The sequence below is a fragment of the Homo sapiens genome, chromosome 7 (genome assembly GCF_000001405.40).
Source record: "Homo sapiens chromosome 7, GRCh38.p14 Primary Assembly".
In the NCBI taxonomy this organism is placed as follows: domain Eukaryota; kingdom Metazoa; phylum Chordata; class Mammalia; order Primates; family Hominidae; genus Homo; species Homo sapiens.
The window spans coordinates 33,735,859-33,756,103 of record NC_000007.14 but is presented as its reverse complement, the minus strand read 5'-3'; the positions used below and the strand labels follow the sequence as shown (position 1 = coordinate 33,756,103).

Here is a 20,245-nt window from a genome sequence, read left to right as displayed (position 1 = left end):
GCAAGTTAAAGAACAAAATACAGACTGAGAATTGCCAAACACTTGGTCTGAGCAGTCAATTCTCATCCGTGTATAAGCTTTGACCCTATACAACCAACAAGTGTTAACAATCCCATTGTGCTCAAAGTGGCCACCAATCAGACAGTTAAACCTATGAAACCATGAACATAAGCCACCAACGCAAAGTGAAAAAACTCAGTTAGGAGGCACAACTGAGCAAATTCACCATTCCCCAGGCCATTTCTGCCCAAAACTCTGGTTCCACGTTCTACGACAATGGAATCATTTGCCCAGCAACCCGGCTTTACCATGCAATCTTCCTCTGCTTCCTTCCTTTGGAATAAATAGAACTTGTCCCATGCTCTCTGTGGCTGATCCCCAGTGCAGACGCCAGCTTTCACTGATTTCATGAGTACAGAAGGGAAAGCCAAAAAATCAACAAAGAGAGAAAGCTACTACCTTGATCTATTTCTAAACAGCAACTCTGCTGTTTTTCATGGGCAGACGGGAGCTGTGAATGTAATTGTGACCAATGCTGAGATTAAACCCATGAATGATTTGGCTTGAGCTTTTAAGAGTGATCAAAATTGTGGAGCATAGCCTTGTTTACGGGTTTATAGATCTGCCTGGGGCATCCGACGCCCTTGACTATGATTTATTATTACAGGACAGAGATTATCTCAGACTGGGCTGGAAATGGATCTTGGCTGAGTTATTTAACTCACCGGATGCAATGTGTGAGAGTTGATGGCCTTGTTTCTCAATTTGTCAGTTGTAAAGGGAGTCCCCAAGGCTCAATTTCAGACCCAGTATTGTTTACATAGCCCGGCAATAATACATCACATGTGGCAAAATATTACAAATTCATTTTTATGCTGATGATATGGCTCAGGCATAATGGCAGCTAATGTGCTGCTCTTTTTATTTGAAATTGCAGCTACGTCTCTAAAGGCACAAAGGGGCTTTTGTGTTTTGAACCATAAAGAAGAGAATGTATATGACAGTTTTTAGAAGGACTAATGAATGGTTTGATCAGGCTCGGCTGCCATCTGTAAAAGAGTCCCATTATAGCAGTTACGGTCATTATAATATCATACTATCTGAAGGTATCTGTCAGGATTTTTTCATACTATTATTATTATTATTATTGTTTGGGAAGCAATGGAAAACGGCTTTCCATTTTGCTATTTGTATTTAGATGATGGGAAAGGAATAATTTGAACAATGATTCCCATCTGGAACTTTATTCAAATGGCCTGCACCAGTCATATGGAGATGACACTTTGGCACATACGCGAAGTACCAAAGGGTACACTGTGTTTAAAATTTGGAGAAAATTCTCCATATAAATAAATTCACTATGAATCACAACAAATTGCCTACCCACTGCTTCTGAAACATCTTTAGCCGGAAAAACACCAGCACATTTTAAGAATACAGAAATGCTCCCAATGAGGCAGAACTGCATTTCATTTTTGGACTTAGAAAGTAAGAATGAAAATCATGGGCATCCATATCAAGAAAGAACAGTGCCTTTTAAATAAGATTTCATGCTCTAGGACACTAACAAATCAAAAAAATAAACAGATAAAACAGCAAATTCCTCAGGAATTTGGTGTGTTTTAAAAGAACATTTACAAAAAGGGAAAGAAAAAAAGACAGAGTCACTTCATATTTTTTTCAGATATTTTCTAGCCCTACAAAGCCCTGCCTTTTCCCACACGGAAAGACAGCCAGTGGCTGCGTGGCCACGGGTAATTTGGATTTAATTGTGTTTGCTTAAGCCATACATTCCACTCCCAAACCATAAAAACGAATCCTAGAAATCACAATAATTTGAAAACTCTGGAGTCTGTGTCCTGTTTGCTTTTTCAAAAGAAGATTCTCAGGAAAGCTTTATTGCAACCTGTATGTTTACCTTTGGGATCTTCCTAAAACACAGTACCTCCTTTAGAAGGATGCATGGAAGATCAAAAGACGCAACTGCAGTGCCTCCAAGTAGCACTGTCAGCCCATTGCTAGAGGAGGATCTCAGAGAAAGAGGGCTGGGTTTCCAGGGCCTTTACTCTCATATGTAGCCATTTACTTCTTTGACAAATATTTACTGAGTGCCTACTATGTGCTGAGGAGAAAAGGCATCCTGGCGAGAGCACAGGCTTAGAATCTGATAGGCCTGGGCTCAATGATTGGCTTTGCAGTTTTCTAAATGGGCAGCCTTGGGCAGATTAGTTAACCCCTGTATGCCAGGCACATAGTGGAAAGTCAGTGGAGATTTGTCAAGGAAATAAATAAATAAGTTTTTGTTTCTTCATCTATAAAATGTGGCTATCAGAGCCTGCTTTGTGGGGTTATTGAAGATGTGATGAGAAAATGGATAGATCGTGCTTTATTGCTGTTGCTGTTTTTCCATTAGTATACAGTGGTCCCCGATCTTTGGTACTGTGGAGAAGGCAGACAAGCAAATCAACAATTATTCTGCAATGTGGCTGAAAAATAAACTAAACTAGGGGTGGGAAAGCACAGTGGTGAGACTCAGAAAAGGCTTCCCAGGGAAATGATTCTCGAGCTAAGGTTTATCAGGTAGGTAAAACCCAGCCAGGCAAAAGAAGGGAGGAATGGCATTCCAAGCAAACGGATTGGAACCCAGTGGGCAAAGAGGCAGGAGGGAGGTCTGTGTCCTGACAGGTGGCTTGATGTGGCTCAACTCCCAGGCACACGGGGGCAGATAATAGGCTAAAGAGATAGGCTTTATTCAGTCATTTTTCTGGGTCTCAACCTTACATTCTTAATCCAAACCAAACACCAGTGATGGAGGCACGGGTAAGAAAGAAACTTGGTCAGGCACAGTGGCTTACACCTGGAATCCCAGCACTTTGGGAGGCCAAGGCAGGTAGATCACTGGAGATTAGGAGTTCGAGACCAGCCTGGCCAACACGGTGAAACCCCATCTCTACTAAAAAAAAAAAAAAAAAACAAAAATTAGCTGGGCGTGGTGGCACATGCCTGTAATCCCAGCTACTAGGGAGGCTGAGGCAGGAGCATTGCTTGAACCCGGCAGGTGGAGGTTGCAGTTAGCCGAGATTGAGCCACTGGACTCTAGCCTGGGCAACAGAGCAAGACTTTAACTAGAAAAAAAAAAAAAGAAAGAAGAAAGAAGAAAAGAAAGAAAGAAAGAAAGAAAGAAAGAAAGAAAGAAAGAAAGAAAGAAAGAAAGAAAGAAAGAGAAAGAAAGAAAGGAAGGAAGGAAGGAAGGAAGGAAGGAAGGAAGGAAGGAAGGAAGGAAAAGAAAAGAAAGAAAGAAAAGAAAGAAAGAGGGAAGGAGGAAGGGAGGGAGGGAAGGAAGGAAGGAAGGAAGACTTGCAAGCAGGAAAGCGTCTATTGCCACCATGGCTGTAGGGCAGTGGGGTGGTTCCAGGATTCAGCCTTCACAGAAGCCACCAGAAAATCTACAGGAGTCAGCAGGAAACCTGTTATTTTCCTGAAGCACCCAACTCTAAATGACACTTGAAATCTTAGAGTTTTAATATCTTTATCCTAGTATTTTTAGTCCTGAATTCCTGAACTTAATTGCTAATCCCATCTACAGTCACGCATTGCTTAATGATGGGGATATATTTGGAGATATGTGTCCTTAGGTGATTTCGTTGTTGTGACCATCACAGAGTGCATTACACAACCTAGATGGTAGGGCCTCCTACACACCGAGGCTATGTGGTATGGCCTAGTGCTCCTAGACTACAGACCTGTACAGCATGGTCCTGTACTGAATACCGTAGGCAACTGTAACACAGCAGTATTTGTGTATAAGATATCTAAACACAGAAAAGATAGAGTAAAAATACTGTATTATAATCTTATGGGCCCACCATCATCTATGTGGTCCTGTGGTTTAATAAAACATCGTAATATGGCGTGTAACTGTAGATTTACATTTTCAGCTTTTCATCTATGAGCATTTTATCTTAATATTTTACCTCCTCTATGCTTATGCTTTTAAACTTTTATCTTATTAACTTCAAGCCTCTTATCTTTTATTTTAAATATCATTCATTTTATCACATGTACCTTATCTTACAAACATTTTAAATTTTATTTTCAACTAATACTTTGTTTTTCTTACATTTTTTTTCTGGCAGTGTTTTAATTTTATTCACCTTGTAACTTTCTAGCTTCTTTTTCTTTTAAAAGAATTTCTTCTTTCTTTTCTCTTTCATTTTCCTTTTCCTCCTCCTCCTTTTCTTTGCCTTCCTTTTCTTCTATTTGACCATATTTGGGTTTGTTTTTTTAGTGTCCAGAGAAGACAAAAGCTGATAGAGAAGGGAACATGGTGAGAAGCTACCCCACAGACAGAGGCAGCTGGATCAATGTCCTTCTTCCCCTTGGGTAACTCTGTGGACCCTCCTGCCCCAATTGTCCTTGCAGCTTCCCCTAAAATGCAGCCTGAACACCCTCCCTCTGCCTGCTATCCCGCCCAGCTCCACCAATGATTTACCCAGCCCTTTAAAGAATGGATTGAGAAAGAGAGAGAGAGAGAGGAAACTTACCTGCAGAGAATAACATGTTAACCCCTTCCCTGGCTGCAGTTCTGTGACATAGTACACAAAAGATATTGCAATTGTTTTTCTTTCTGACATCATATCTACCAGGCCTTACAGGAATTTTTTGCATGTTTAGAATCCATGTGTGTGTGTGTGTGTGTGTGTGTGTGCATGTGTGTGTTATCAGAGACTGTTGTGCCCCTACTAGGAGGTTTTAAACATTGTCAGAACCTATACGTGTTCTCCCAGAACATCAGATATCAAAGAGCAAGGGGGGCCCGTGCATTTCGAAGATACGTGCCCAGGTCTCCCCTAGTAGTTCTCAGGGAGAGAAGTAGGTAAGGCTGAGCTTCTCCACTTTTTTATTGTCTTCCAGAAAAGAACAGAATGTTATTCTGAGGAGAATGGAATTTCTGAAGATCATTTAATCATCTCTCAGGGTCTAGGCTGCTTTGTACACATAAGAGTAATTTAGGGAACTGTTAATAATGCAGATTTCACCTACTCAACATCAGCCTTGGCAAAGAACTTATGGCTAAGTCCCCAAAAGCAATTGTAAGAAAAACAAAAAAACAACAGTGGGACCTAATTATACTAAAGGGCTCTGCACAACAAAAGAAAATAGCAACAAAGTAAACAGACAACCTGCACAATGAGAGAAAATATTTGCAGACTATGCATCCAATAAAGGACTACTATCCAGAATGTGTAAGGAACTTCAATCAGCAAGCAAAAAACAAATGACCTCATTAAAAGACAGGCAAGGCTGGGAGCGGTAGCTCACACCTGTAATCCCAACATTTTGGGAGGCCAAGGTGGGCAGATCACTTGAGGTCAGGAGTTCGAGACCAGCCTGGTCAACATCCAGTGAAACTCCATCTCTACTAAAAATACAAAAAGTAGCCAGGCATGGTTGTGCACACCTGTAATCCCAGCTACATGGGAGGCGGAGCAATAGAATCGCTTGAACCTGGGAGGCAGAGGTTGCAGTTAGCTGAGATCACACCTCTGCACTCCAGCCTGAGCTACAGAGCAAGACTCCGTCTCAGAAAAAAAAAAAAAAAAAAAAAAAAAAGATGGGCAAAGGACATGAACAGCTGCTTCTCAAAAGAAGATATACAAGTGGCCAAGAAACATATTTTTAAAAATGCTCATTGTCACTAGTCATAACAGAAATGCAAATCAAAACCACAATGAGATTCTATCTCACCCCAGTCAGCATGGCTATTATTAAAAAGTCAAAAAATAGCAGAGGCTGGGGAGGTTGCAAAGAAAAGGGAACACTTAAACACTGCTGGTGGGAATGTAAGTTAGGCCAGCTACTGTGGAAGGTAGTTTGTAGTTTTCTCAAAGAGCTTAAAACAGAACTACCATTTGACCCATCAATCCCATTACTGGGTATAAACCCAAAAGAAAATAAACTTTTCTACCAAAAGGACACACACACTCATATGTTCATCACAGCACTATTCACAATAGTGAAGTCATGGAATCCATCTAGGTGCCCATCAAAGATGGATTAGATAAAGGAAATATAGTACATATACACCATGGAATACTACACAACCATAAACAAGAATGAAATCAGGTCCTTTGCAGCAACATGAATGCAGCTGGAGATTATGATCCTAAGCAAATGAATACAGGAACAGAAAACCAAATACCACATGTTTTCACTTATAAGTGGGAACTAAGCATTGAGGACACATGAACATAAAGATGGGAACAATAGAAAGTCGAGACTACTAGAAGCGGGAGGGAGGAAGGGGAATGTGGGCTGGAAAACTTCCTATTAGGTACAATGCTCACTACTTGAGTGATGGAATCATTCATACCCCAAACCTCAGCATCATGCAATATACCCGTGTAACAAGCCTGCACATGTACCCCCTGAGTCAAAAATAAAAGTTGAAAAAAACATTTTTATTTATTTATTTATTTGCTTTTTTTTTTTTTTGAGACAGAGTCTTGCTTTGTTGCCCAGGCTAGAGTGCAGAGGCTCAATCTCGGCTCACTGCAAGCTCCGCCTCCTGGGTTCACGCCATTCTCCTGCCTCAGCCTCCCGAGTAGCTGTGACTACAGGCACCCGCCACCATGCCCAGCTAATTTTTTGTATTTTTAGTAGAGACGGGGTTTCACCATGTTGGCCAGGATGGTCTCAATCTCCTGACCTCGTGATCCACCTGCCTCGACCTCCCAAAGTGCTGGGATTACAGGCGTGAGCCACCACGCTCGGCCAAAAGTTGAAATTTTTAATGCAGGTTTTACAGACACTCCCCAGAGATTGTGACTCAATAGAATGGGGTCCAGGAATCCAAAAAAGTTTTTGCCAGATGTCCCCAGGAGACTCTGATGTAGGTGGCCCATGGGCTACACTTTGAGAAGCACTCACTAAGCTTATATGGACAGAATCTTTTTATAGATTCTGCCTTCAGAACTCTCCCTTTGCAGCATCCTGCTGAGGGGGTGTCCCCTTCCCAAAGATGGCCACCAGGCAACACGGCCGCAGTGGCTGCCCGGTGCAGCGAGGCCATGGGACGCATTCCTCCAGCTGCTCTGGATCCCCTAGAGTGAGGCTTTCATCAGTTGGATTCCTGTCCTGGAGCTCAGCCAGTTCCAGGATAAGGGCCTGGGACACTGGGCTCTCGAATAGATTTTGATGCTGGGTTTGTTTGCTGATCTGTTGTTCTTGTTTATTTTTAAGACTTGAGGGTGTGTTTGAATCCTGAAAGGGACGTAATAAAGGGGAGAAGCTAAGATGAAGGAGGAGAGGGCCTTCCTACCTGAAGGAGGCCCCAAGAAGGCAGCAGAGAGGGATCTGAGCACAGTTCCTCCAGTGTGGTTAGGAGCAAGAAGTGGCGGATGAGCGTAGGGGCAAGTGAGAGCCTGGGCTCAGCAACAGGCTCCATCTGGCAGCTCCACTATGAGGCTGAAACTGAGGGAGGGTTCCAGTGGAACCAACTTTTAGAGAGAGTACAGGGAATGGAGGCATCTTGGTGAAGGAGGGAAGAGTGAGCTCTCTGGAAAAATGAAGTAAGTTTGCTGTACTCCATCGGGATCCCAGTTAGCATTGTTATTTCAGAATTTATGATGTTAAAAATTGACACAGTTGTGCAGATTTCCTCCGGCGATTTTCAGACGCCAGGAGAAGGTAGAGGATGGATTGATCCAGGGTTGGAGTCTTGCTAATTCCATTTTGGAAGGACAGAGATGCATAGGAATTTAATATGTAAAAGATTAGTTTTATGAAATCTGAACTGAACAATAAAGACAGGAGGCAGGTGATGGATAATGAGAAAATGTATATATGGGGAGCTGGTCAAAGGTCCCAATTAATTCTAAGAGCAATTGAAGATGGAAGGGGTGTTGAATAGACGGCTGGAGAGGAGAAGAGGCTAAGTTCAAGAGTGGGATGTTTGTTTTCTATGGAGAAGTTCCCGGAACTGACAAGGATCAGGATGTGACCATGGGAGGAAGCTGCTGAAGTTGGATAGAAGAGGAAAAGATGACATAGTCCCAGAACAGAGAGGATGGTGGATGGGTTAGTTGCTTGAAAGTGATTTCTATGGTAAGCGAACCACTTTCTTACCATTGTGATTTCTATTAGGTATAATAACCGAAATGGATAATTCCACCCCAAACTATTACAGAGGCGATGGCATTGCATCAATGTGAGACATGCTTCTGGGGAGAGCGTGGTTCATGTCCCTTGCCCAGGGAGGATGGCATAGTATAGAGAATTTGCTCCTCTGTTCTCTATCGTCATTTTGAAGGACTCTGAATGGTATAAAAATGATTAGCCCCTATCCCTCACTTTAAAAATGGAATTTTACCATAGCTTAGCCTAGCCTGCCTTAAACGTGCTCGGAGCACTTACATTAGCCTAGAGTTTGGCAAAATCATCTCACACAAAGACCTTTTTATAAGAAAGTGTTGAATATCTCAAGTAATTTATTAAATACTGTACTGAAGGTGAAAAACAGAATGGTACCCAAAACACTGTTTTTACCGACTTCACCTTATGTTCCCACCATCATAAAGTCAAAAATCGTAAGTTGAACCATCGTAAATTGAGGACTGTCTGTGTACAATTTTTGTTGGTTAAAAATAAATAATCATAAAGAAAAAATAAAAATGGATTTTTATTTCTTAGTGTCAAAAATTTAGAAGATAAACGCAAGGAAAAAGAAACAGAGAAAATGAAAAACTGTGTATCGTATATTACTCAAAATATCACCTTATGAAGAAAACCACTATGTACATTTTAATGTATATAATTCTAGGATGTGTGTGTGTACACTTGTGTGCATTTTTTTAAAAAAATAAAATTATATTGCATAGTAATATGCTTGTCTCATCTGTTTAGTTATAAATGGATTCCCATGTCAGTAAAAAATCATCCAACATGGTTTATTTTTACATTGTTTTCTTCAACATGATTTTTAGTGTCTATCCTACTTCATAGGTAAACTACAATTTCTTCAATCCCCTATTTTCTCATTTTTAGACATTAGAAAAAATGCAATGATGAACATCTTTGTAAGTACATCTTTGGACACACCCATGATTATTTCCTTCAGTGAATTTTCTAGAAAGAGTCTTCCTCAAGGCCATACTTGTCTTGATGTGTTTTTACACAGCCAAACTGCTATGCAAGAAGGTTGTATCAATTTAGAAATATCAGAAGTGCCAGTTTCTACACACCCTCACAGGTATGAGGCATTATTCCTCTTTGGAATTAGTCTCTGTAATCTTTGCCAATCTGATAGCTGGAAAGTAGCATTGCATTTTTATTTACATTTTATGGATTCCCTGGGATGTTGAACATCATCTCACACAGATGCATTCCTGGCCCCACCTTCACCCCTTCCCAAACTACTTTTCCCAGCCTGAACTTTGGAATTTTGCCCTGAACGTACACTGAAGAACACTCTGAAGAAGAGTCCCACAAAGTGTGTGCTTGTATTCACTATAAAAATGTTATGGAGGGTTGGGATCATCAGGAAAGATGTCTTTTTCTAGGACCTTTTTTACTGAGAGGAATAGGCTGCTTCTGAATATCCATTTTATTTTCATCTCATTGATGCTGTGGAATGTGTAGTTCACTCAAGTCTATTCCACATGCCTTCCTGGGTACCAAGCCGACCTCTCTCTTGTCTCCTTGTTGTCTTTCCAATCTTTATTTTTCCTTTGTCATATTTTCTGCAACTATTTCTAATTTGATTGCTTCTTGCTTCTTGGGCATTTATGCAACACAGGGTGTAAAGAGATAAAATATGGTAATTGATGGGTTGATTATGGAGTTTTACGATGGGTACCAACCCCATACCTTGGCAGACACTGATACTGAGCTAATGTGGAGCTTCCCAGAGTTTTGTGCATTATGGTACACACAGAAAATGATGATGTTGGTATGACTCATTCAGGAAAAAGGAGGAGATTCCAGAGCCAGAGGAGATTGTTGAGGGATTCTATTCCCACCCCATCCCATTCCCTAAGGCGTGGGAAGACCATTGGTGGCATACAAGTTGAGAAGCCCTGGACCAGTGGAACAAAGATACTTTACTAAAGTAAAGCTAATAAAAGTAAATTCTTTCCCGACTTGTTCCTACTTCAAAAGAAATGCTTTTTTTCCCCTCAGGTAAATGTATATTATTTCAATATACTATAAAGAAAACGAGAATGATTCCCTAGTATGGAAGTTACCTACAGACCGCTGCTACCCTTACGTGCTTCTAGAATTTCTGTTCACCCATGTCCTTTTCCTTCTTTTCTTCCATGCTTTTTTTTTTTTTTTTTTTTTTTTTTGAGACAGTGTCTCACTCTGTCACCTGGGTTGGAGCACAGTGGCACGATCTCGGCTCACTGCAACCTCCACCTCCCAGGTTCAAACAATTCTCCTGCCTCAGCCTCCTGAGTAGCTGGGATTACAGGAGCCTGCCACCACACCCAGCTAATTTTTTTTTTCTATTTTTAGTAGAGACGGGGTTTCACTGTGTTGGTCAGCTGGTCTCAAACTCCTGACCTCATGATCTGCCTGCTTCAGCCTCCCAAAGTGCTGGGATTATAGGTGTGAGCCACCACGCCCGACTCCCATGCTTCTTTAAAAGCATCCAATCCCTTCTCAGAGCCTCAAGATGGCACCTTCTATTCATGGAGACCCTGGAATCTTTGGCTCTGCCTCTCCTAGGCTGGCTCCCGGGTGTCCTTTTCCTTCTGCTCCAGGCTCCCGGTCCTGCCTTTCTCTCTGTCTTCACCATCTCTTGGGTCCCTTCCTTCTGCCTCCGCCCAGACTAGGATTCAGACACCTCATCTCAATGTCTTATCTCACAGTGGCAGAGAGGACTCAGATGTTCGCCGTGCGTGTTTCAGTTTTCTGGACACAAGGCTAAGCTGCCTTTCCTGGCATGCCTGTATCTAGGTGGGGCACCACAGAGGGTCTCACCATAGCATGTATGTAGGGCTGGCTATGTCACTGCTGGGCCCAAGGAGTTCAGCACGTGTGTCTTCTTTACTCTCTCTCTTCCCCCATCTGCCAGCTGGACCACAGCAAGGTGACATTGAAGTCCCATTCTGGACATGGCAAAGCCACACAGTGGGAGAAGAATGAAACCCTGAATGACTGCACAGGGTAGGGCTCCCCACTAACTGCACTGAGCTGTGACATGGTAGAGAGATAAATGTATGTAGTTTAAGATAATCAAAATTCAGGGAGTTGCCTGTTATAGCAGTTAGCATATGCTAATTATGTACTCATTTTTTCTTCTGTTTCTAAAGAAAGGAAAAGCAGGCCCTTCTAACTTTTTCATTTTAAGATTATGATTACCAGTCACCAGGGTATATACCCCAGATACAGGTTTTTGTTTTTTTGGTGTTTTTTTTTTTAAAGGGCAAGGGAGGTTTTGGAATTATTAAATTCTTAGAACAGTGTTTCGCAGAGGGCACTTTGTGGAACACTAGTTCCCCCAGGAGTACATAGCAAAATTTAGAAAAGGAGGTTCTATGGCTTAATAATATTGGGAAATGCCGAATTAAAGGCAGTGGGCTTCTTTGCTACAGGCCTTCTCAGGGCCTTTGATAGACAGTTGTACATTGTCTCTCTCCACAAGGGGGCTCTGTTGAACATATTTGTCTCAACCCAGAAGACTAAAGAGCAAATTGGAGCAGAGCAAGAACTGGCTCCTTTCAGAGTGAAATTGGTACCTCTGGGTACCTTTAGAAGTAGAAATCACATTCTGCTGGGACCCTGCCCCAGCCTAGAGTGATTCACCTAAAGCAGATCTTTTAATGACCCCTCCCCCATAGCAGAGGACCCAATCTAGGGGCGCCTGTTCCATCATCCACCTCCTCATGTTGCATCAAACCCACCAAGGTGATGGTGGTACCACGGTCCCTGGTGAAAGCAACAAGCCCCTCCCACCTCAGGGCTGCTGGCGTGGAACCATCATGGCCTCTTCCCAGGAAGGCAAAGAAAAGACAGTCTCCAATTGCCCAACAGCTACTGCAGTTGAATAGTTGATGTGGTATAGCTAAAGGGAAGGTTGGTAAGAGTCATACCATGTGTGATATGAAGGGAAAGATTGAGGAAGGACAACCAAGTCCTCAGTAGAACAGAGGAAACCAAGTCAGCATGACAAGCATCGGATTGTGTACTTAGTGACAGTCTAGAGAGGGCAAGAGGTGTTGTTGCCCAAATTCCATATGAGCACATTAGCAGTCAACCGCCTGCAAGCCTTCCAGTAAATAGAGTGCAGCCTTGCGTCAATTTCTGAGAGAAAGACTGTCCGAACTTGCTCTGAATCACATCCAACTGAATGTTGTAACCCTACAGTCTTCAAGCCTCAACACTAACTCTAAACTGTATCACTTGCCCCTGCCTGAAACCCGAGATTCCATTTCCTGCCATGATTGCAGCACACAGAGCTCAGCAGACAAGTTGCTTGTAAGACACTTTTAAGACAAACTAAATGAGCATTTTAGGTTTTAATCTCATCTGGAAGATGGCTAGCACCAACACCAGGAGAAATCTCTGTCAGCTTAAACCAGAGGAGTCAATGTTGTCCCAAGAAAGGAAGCAGAATAAGGCCTGCCCTCAGTGGCACTCACCAGTGACTCCCCCATCTGTGGCACACTAACGGAGCAAAAATGCCAGCTGGCATTATAGAAATCATCCAACACCCAGGACCCTGGACTGCTCCTTGTGTACTTAAGAACTCAAGTCATCGTCTACCTAGATTTGGCAGGGAAAACTGAATGTCCAGGCTGAAACTGTACCTTTCATCTCTCTAGATACCAAAGGCCAGGCATTCATGCTCCTCAAAGTCAAACCACGCCTCAGTACCAGCATCATCCATGAATCCAGCCTCTGCCAGGGAGAAACAGTGCCTGGAACAGCTGCTGGGCCTTCACCAGTCTCACTCTCCCCACCGCTCTACCTCCTTTATTTGTGTTTCCCACAGTACTGGACACACCAAAGCACAATAGATCCCTGTCAAATGAGTGAAAACCAGGTGAAATACATGGAATAATGCCTTGACCAACTCTAGCTCCAACCAAAGTGCTGACAGTCTCTTTTGCTCCCCTTGGTGTCTTCATTGGATCTCCTAATTGTTCTCCAGCATCATCCTCTCTGAGTATATGTTACAGACACAGTTCCCAGGCCTGCCATTAGACATTCAGAAGTAGAGGCAGAGGGGAGAGCCCAGGAATCTGTATTCTGAAGCCTCTGCCCAGGAGACACTCTGCACATAGAGTGTGAAGAATGCTGCCCTAGGTTCCTACTCCCGGCAGCCTTCCTTCCATCCGGAGTGAACTGCAGACCTGCCCACACCCACTCACTTCCTGCTTCCCTGAGGACGCCCATTCGCAGGCTAGCCTCTCTCCTCTCTACCACTGCCAAACCAGAGAGCTCTGGTCTCTGAGAAAGGAGCACACCCTTCCCAGTCTTGCCCATAATCCCACCTCTACTGCCCCACCAGGCCATCGCTGCTGCCCACGTGTGCTGTCAGATGAGATTCTGCTGCTTCCCCTCCATGTGAGAGATCACACTCAATGTCCCCATTCTTAAAAAAAAAAAAAAAAAAATTCAGGTCTGTCTTCCCTTCACCACCAAACCCATTAACCTCCTGCCTACCCTGGTCCTCCTTATTCCCCACCTCCCCCTTACTCTCCAGTCCTGCCTGCCTTCCTGCACCACTCTACTGGACCACCTGCAGCATCTGTCATGAAAATGATGCTGTGTTACACCCAAAGGGTGCTTTATAGCTCATGAAACACTTTCACATATGTTTTGTCATTTGAACCTCATGACTCTGAAAAAAGCATGCAATATCTCAGTCCCAAACTTCAGGCTAGATGATCGTACCACCTTCCCCATGTTTGCCATATCCTTTTGTCCCTCAGTTACTTACTAAGCATTTTTCTTAAATAGACTCACCTATTTTAACAAATTTATTTTGAAAGAAAAATGTATATTGTTCTTATTAATAATCAGTATCATTGGTCTTAAATAAGAGGCACTAGTATAAAGAAATTCAGTGAAAACAAAACATTGTTGTTCAATTTTAAAGTCAGAGACTGTGGCCTGTGGCTGAAGGTGAACTCCTGAGCCCCTGGAGAAAGTCAGCTCTCTGGTTTCCCCCACTGCTCCCACCCAGAGGAGGAAGGCTCACTCCACCTACTGAGCTTCCTCCTGGCCCTTCCAGGTCCATAGAGGCCTGTCTCACTCACAAGGGTCAACATCAACCCTTCCCCTGTCCCCAGATGCCAGACTTTTCCCAGGACCTAGTCCCAGACACTGCTTTCTAACCACTGTCCAACCCACGAGGAGGAGGCTCCACCCCAGTCCCACCCATAAGGATCTCAGCGGAGCCTCACGCCCAGGTGCCCACAGATTTCTTTGATGGCCCATAGGAGAGGCAAGGAATGGGGCATTGGGAGGACATAGTGGGGGCCACGCTTGAGTGACCACGTTTCCCGCATTTCCTTTGTAAGTCTAGCCAGAAACGATTTCCTGACAAGGCTTAGAGCCCACAGTCCATTCACATTTTGTCTTAAAATAAGGATGCTGCAGGCATTGTGAAAAACAGTACGGAGGGTCCTCAAAAAATTAAGCGTAGAACTACCATTTGATCCACCAATTTCACTTCTGGACGTGTACACAAAGAAATCAAAAGCAGGGCCTTGAAGAGGTATTTGTATGCCCATGTTCATAGCAGCATTATTCACAAAATCCAAAGGCGGAAATAACCCGTGTCCTGGATAGTTGAATGAATAAGCAAAATGTGGTCAATCTGTACAATGGAATATTATTCAACCTTAAAATGATAGGAAATTCTGACACATGCTGCAACATAGATTAACTTGAAGATATTACGTGAAGTGAAAGAAGCCAGATATAAAAGGGCAAGTATTATACAATTCTACTTATATGTGATACCTAGAGTAGTCAAAGTAATGGAGACAGAAAGTATTAATGGTGGTTGTCTGGGGCTGGGGAAGGGGGGATGGAGAATGATTATTTAATGGATATAGAGTTTCAGTTTGGGTTCATTAAAAAGTTCTGGAGATAGGCCAGGCGCAGTGGCTTATGCCTGTAATCCCAGCACTTTGAGAGGCTGAGATGGAAGGATTGCCAGGAGTTCAAAGTTGCAGTGAGCTATGATCACACTACTGCACTCCAGCCTGGGTAGGAGAGCGAGACCCTGTCTCAAAAAATAAAAAAAAGTTCTGGAGATAATGATAATAATTGTACAACAATGTGAATGTACTTCATGCTACTGAACTGTACACCTAAAAATGGTTAAAGTGGTGATTTTTATATTATATGTATTTTATATTATATATATTTTATTTATCACAATAAAAATTGAGCTCAGCAGTTAATTATTGCAAAGCCATTACAGTCATACTAACATCAAATTGAAACTTTGTATTTCACCAAATTTGAACTGAAAAGCAGATTACTTTCTTACTGTGTGATTCAATATTATTTTGAAGGTCACATTCCAGTATCTTCAAAACCACCAACTGATTTTGGTATGTTTACCAAGTTTGGGGAAACACTCTAATGTCTTACACAGTTATTACACAGGTAAGAACAGTAATAATGAATCCCAGACATAACAGATGTAGTAAGTGGATTCCCCAAGGTCACACATAGTAAATGGCTCGGTAGAGGCTATTCTGATTCCTGACTTGATGTCAGTTCCATTAATCCAGAGTGTTCCTTCGCCTTCCTCCTCTTCTTCTCTTTTGGCATCCAAGACTGAACTCGTTTTGTTTTTCTCCTTCCCGTTTTTCTTTCTCTATTTTTTGTGGGTTTTCTTAAATTAATAGACCTCATTTTTTAGAGCAGTTTTAGGTTTACAGAAAAATTGAGCAGAAAGCACAGAGAGTTTCCACATAACTCCCCCTTACCCCTGCCAACTTCCCCATTATTAATATCTTGCGTTAGCATGGTACGTTTGTTATAATAGATGAGCTAATACTGATACAATATTATTAAAGCCCACAGTTTACATTACGGTGCACTCTTTGTCTTGTCCATTCTTTTGGTTTTGACAAATGTATAATGACAGGCATCCACCACTACAGAATCGCATCGTTCCACTGCCCTAAAAATCCCATTTGTTTCTCTTGATTCGCCCAAGTTTAGAGATTTCCCAGAGTTCTGGCCCTCTCCTCTTTCTCTCCTTGCTTTACTTGGGCAGAAAATGCCCTTGGGGGATCCCTTCCTCCCCACATTTCCAGGGATCACTTCCATCTTGACAACTCTCCGAGCCACCTCCCTGCTGGCCTGCTGCCCAGCACCACTGGGATGTGGAAGAAACCCCACTGTATTGTGTGTCTCTGCCCCCCACCCCTGACCACCTATTTCTCTTAATGACAAGCCATCCTCCTAGTCACCTCATCACCCTGGAATCAACTTTGACTCTTCCCTTCTTATCCTTTGAGGGAGAGGCCTTAAAAGGGGGCAGGGGGCAGTGACAGGTTAGAGTCATGTTTGCGATGATTGTAGACTCTCTGGCTGCGGGAATCTATCTTCAAGTCCTCTGACCCATGCAAGGTGAATGGCAAAAACAATGACCTGGTGAGCCAGCAGCCACTTTCACAGAAGAAGTGCTTCTTTGTAGTCAACCCACGAAAGACCCCTCCCTCTATTTTCACATCAAACAGGTCTTTCCCTCCCCACCCCCTCGGCTGCCTTTGATGTCTCTCTTCTCTGACCCAGGTCTTGGCACTGGTGGGAAAGAAGCTCAGGATGAGACAAGATTTGCTGAACACCAATAGAATGATTGAGCTTATTCTCTGAGGGAAACGTTCGAAGAATTTATTAAAGGTTTATTTTAAATATAAACTCATCAATTTAATAAAAATGTACTGTACAAGGCTAAGTCTGACCCAATGTTTGCCCTCAAGTAATTCACTGAAGAGTTGAGGAGAAACCTACGTAAATAAGGAATGAAAATTCAGTGTGATGTACTGTGTAATTATAGAAGTCAGAAGATGACAAAGGAATGTATTGGGACTAGGATTGTGTCCAGGTGCACGTAGCAAGAAACAGTGACATAACCAAATAGGAGTCATTTTTCCCAAATAACAGAAAGTGCAGAGCTATGTAGTCAGTCCAGGGAGGTAGCACCAGAAGCTCCATTAAGCCATCAGGTCTCAAACTCCCTTTATCATTCCCCCCCACCATCCGTCATTTGTGACTTTCATCTTTATGCCTATAAGATGACTGCTTGCACATCCAGACATCGAATGTGGGTTGTGGGCATGAAAAACAGCTAACAGTGAAGGTCAAAAGGCATGTACCAAGTGAGACTGTCTCTTTTAACCAGGAAATTAAGAGCTGTTCAGGAAGCTCCACCCAATAGACATCCACATACACCTCATCGGCTAGAATGATGTCATGGGGCCACCAGGCACAAGTGAGCTGGGAATTCAATTTTATAAAGTGGGCACATTGCTGCACTGAACAAAATTGGAGATCAGTGAGAAAGGAAGATCTGGGACAAGCCAGCCATCATGTGGTGAAGACACTCCATCAGCTATATGGAGAGGTCCATGTGGTGAGGAACTGAGGCTTCCTGTCAGCCACCAGCACTAACACATCAGCTGTGTGCTCAAGCCACTTTAGAAGCAGTTCCTCCAGCCCCATCAAGCCTTCAGATAACTGCAGCCCCAGTTGTAACCCAGTGCAATGTCATGAGCCCCTCAGCCACAATCACCCAACTAACCCCCTCATGGATTTCTGTGTTAGTGTGTTTGGGCTGCTATTACAAAAATGCCATAGACCAGGTAGTTTATAAACAACAGAAATTTATTTATCATGGTTCTAGAAGCTGGGAAGTCCAAGATCAAAGTGCCAGCAGATTCAGTGTCTGGTAAGGGCTTTCTTCCTGGTTCATAGACAGCCATCTTTTTTGCTGCATTTTCACATGACACAAGGGGCAAGAGGGTCTCTTTCATAAGGGCACTAATCCCATTCATGATGGCTCCACCCTCATGACCTAATCAACTCCAAAAGGCCCCACCTCCTAATACCATCACACTGGGGGATAGAATTTCAACATATGAATTTTGGGGAGACACAAACGTTCACACCATAGCAATTCATAACTCTCAGAAATGGCATGAGATCATAAGTGATTGCTGCTGTTTTAATGAAGTTTGGGGCTAATTTGTTAAGTAGCAATGGATTAACTCATGACTAATGCAGAAAATGAGAAAGAAGAGATGGGGGAAATGTGGATTGGGCAATTAGCCATGCCTACCACAAAGAGAATGGTTAGAAATTTCTTTCAGGGTTGGATAAATCTTTGAAGAAGAAATAATATCTTAACAAGGTGTACAATAATAAAACAGCTTGCCAGGCTGAGAAGGAAAGTCCGTGGGGAAATCCTTTAGATAAGGAGAATCCATGCCTAGTTAACTGAGCCCACACACTGTATGGATATTGGGTTTAGAGGAAGCACTGCTACTTCCAGCTTGTCCATTGGATTGGTGGCACCAGCAGGGTGGGGGTTGAGGTGGTGTTGGGGAGAGAAAAGTGAAAGAAACAGTAGATGTATGTGAGAGCTGAATCATAAGGGGCCTTGAAATTCTCATTTAAAATCTTAGTTTTGATTGGAGTTTTGATGGAGGGCCTGAAGGCTCTGAAGAGGGGATACTCATGATCAGATTCTATTTGAAAAAGATCACATTGGCAGTAGTGGGGAGCATAAACTAGACACAGACTTCCTAGACCATTTAAAGGAAAGTTCTATTGATGAAATTAGATGAACAAAACTTGGCAACCACATGACATTTAGGTATTTCAAGTTTTTGCAGAGATCATGGGCCCTTTCATGATGCCTAAAAGTAGCAGAAAATTGTGCATCCTTATATCCAAAATACAAGTAATGTACAATAGGCAGAGAATAGCTGCCTGACTCTGGACTTAGAGTTCAGCCTAAATCACACCCTGCTACACACCCTGATGCAAAACGAGATGCCACTTCACACTTATCAGAATGGCTGAAATCCAAAACACTGACACCCATGCTGGCAAAGATGTGGGCCAACAGGAATGCTGCTTCACTGCTGGTGGGAATGCAAACTGATACCACCACTTTGGAAGACAGTTTCACAGTTTCTGCTACTTAGGCAACGCCTCACCTTTGGAGACCCTCTGTACCTTGGAGCCCTCTCCAGTAAAATGAGGATAATGATGGAGTCTATCTCATAGCCAAGAGTGAGCTACAGAAATAAACTATGTAAAGATCCCAGCAAAATGCTTGGCAAGTGGTGGGATCTATCTAGTACTCTTCAGTTGATTGTCTCATTATCTGTAAAACCGTTTAGTCAGCAAGATGGTACCGGGCCGAGTCACCCGCTTCACAAGTAAGGAAACCCTAACAAAGATGATTTATGATTTATGGCAGAGCTAGATTTGAATCTGGGTGTCTTGATTGTCAATTCAATGTTGCTCCCCTCAGCAATGACATGCAGCCAAGCAATTACACTATTGGTAGTGACAATAAAAGTTAAGAAATTCTGATGAAAGATAAAATAAACAATCAAAATAAAGGCACAGGATTATTCCCAGAAGATGCATCTTCAGCCTTCTCTCCCCTGCTCTCAATCCACGTCTCCAACTGTTTAGTCCATTTTCACACTGCTGATAAAGACTTACCCAAGAGGGGGTAATTTATAAAGAAAAAGAGGTTTAACAGACTCACAGTTCCACCTGGCTGGGGAGGCCTCATATTCATGGCAGAAGGCGAAAGGCATGTTTTACACCGCATTAGGCAAGAGAGAAGTGCCGAGCAAAAGGGGGGAAAGCCCCTTATAAAACCATCAGATCTCGTGAGAACTCACTCACTATCACAAAAACAGCATGAGGGTAACTGACCCCATGATTCAATTACCTCCCACTGGTACCTCCCACAACACGTGGGGCTTATGGGAACAATTCAAGATGAGATTTTGGTGGGGACACAGCCAAACCATATCTCCACCCATCTTACTGCCACTCCATCTTACTCTTATTGGCAATGTACCATAAGGTGCTGTGGAAGAGGATCATGCTTTTCTGTGAATTATCTCACTTTACCCTCATAGGTGTTCAGTGAGTAAGCGGCAATTGCCACTTGGCTTTGTCACATTTGTTACAGGTGCATTATTTTAGTTCAGAGGAAATTGAGATTCTAACATGGTTGGTT

The 20,245-nt window shown here is 42.8% G+C and overlaps 1 annotated feature.

The window, feature by feature from the left end:
- Positions 3,945 to 5,144: an enhancer, noted in NCBI's record as "CDK7 strongly-dependent group 2 enhancer chr7:33790572-33791771 (GRCh37/hg19 assembly coordinates)". NCBI's record gives its function as "activates an origin of replication core promoter dependent on BRD2, BRD4, P300/CBP, MED14 and CDK7 cofactors, with strong dependence on CDK7, by STARR-seq in HCT116 cells {active_cell/tissue: HCT116}" and the evidence as "EXISTENCE:reporter gene assay evidence [ECO:0000049][PMID:35650434]".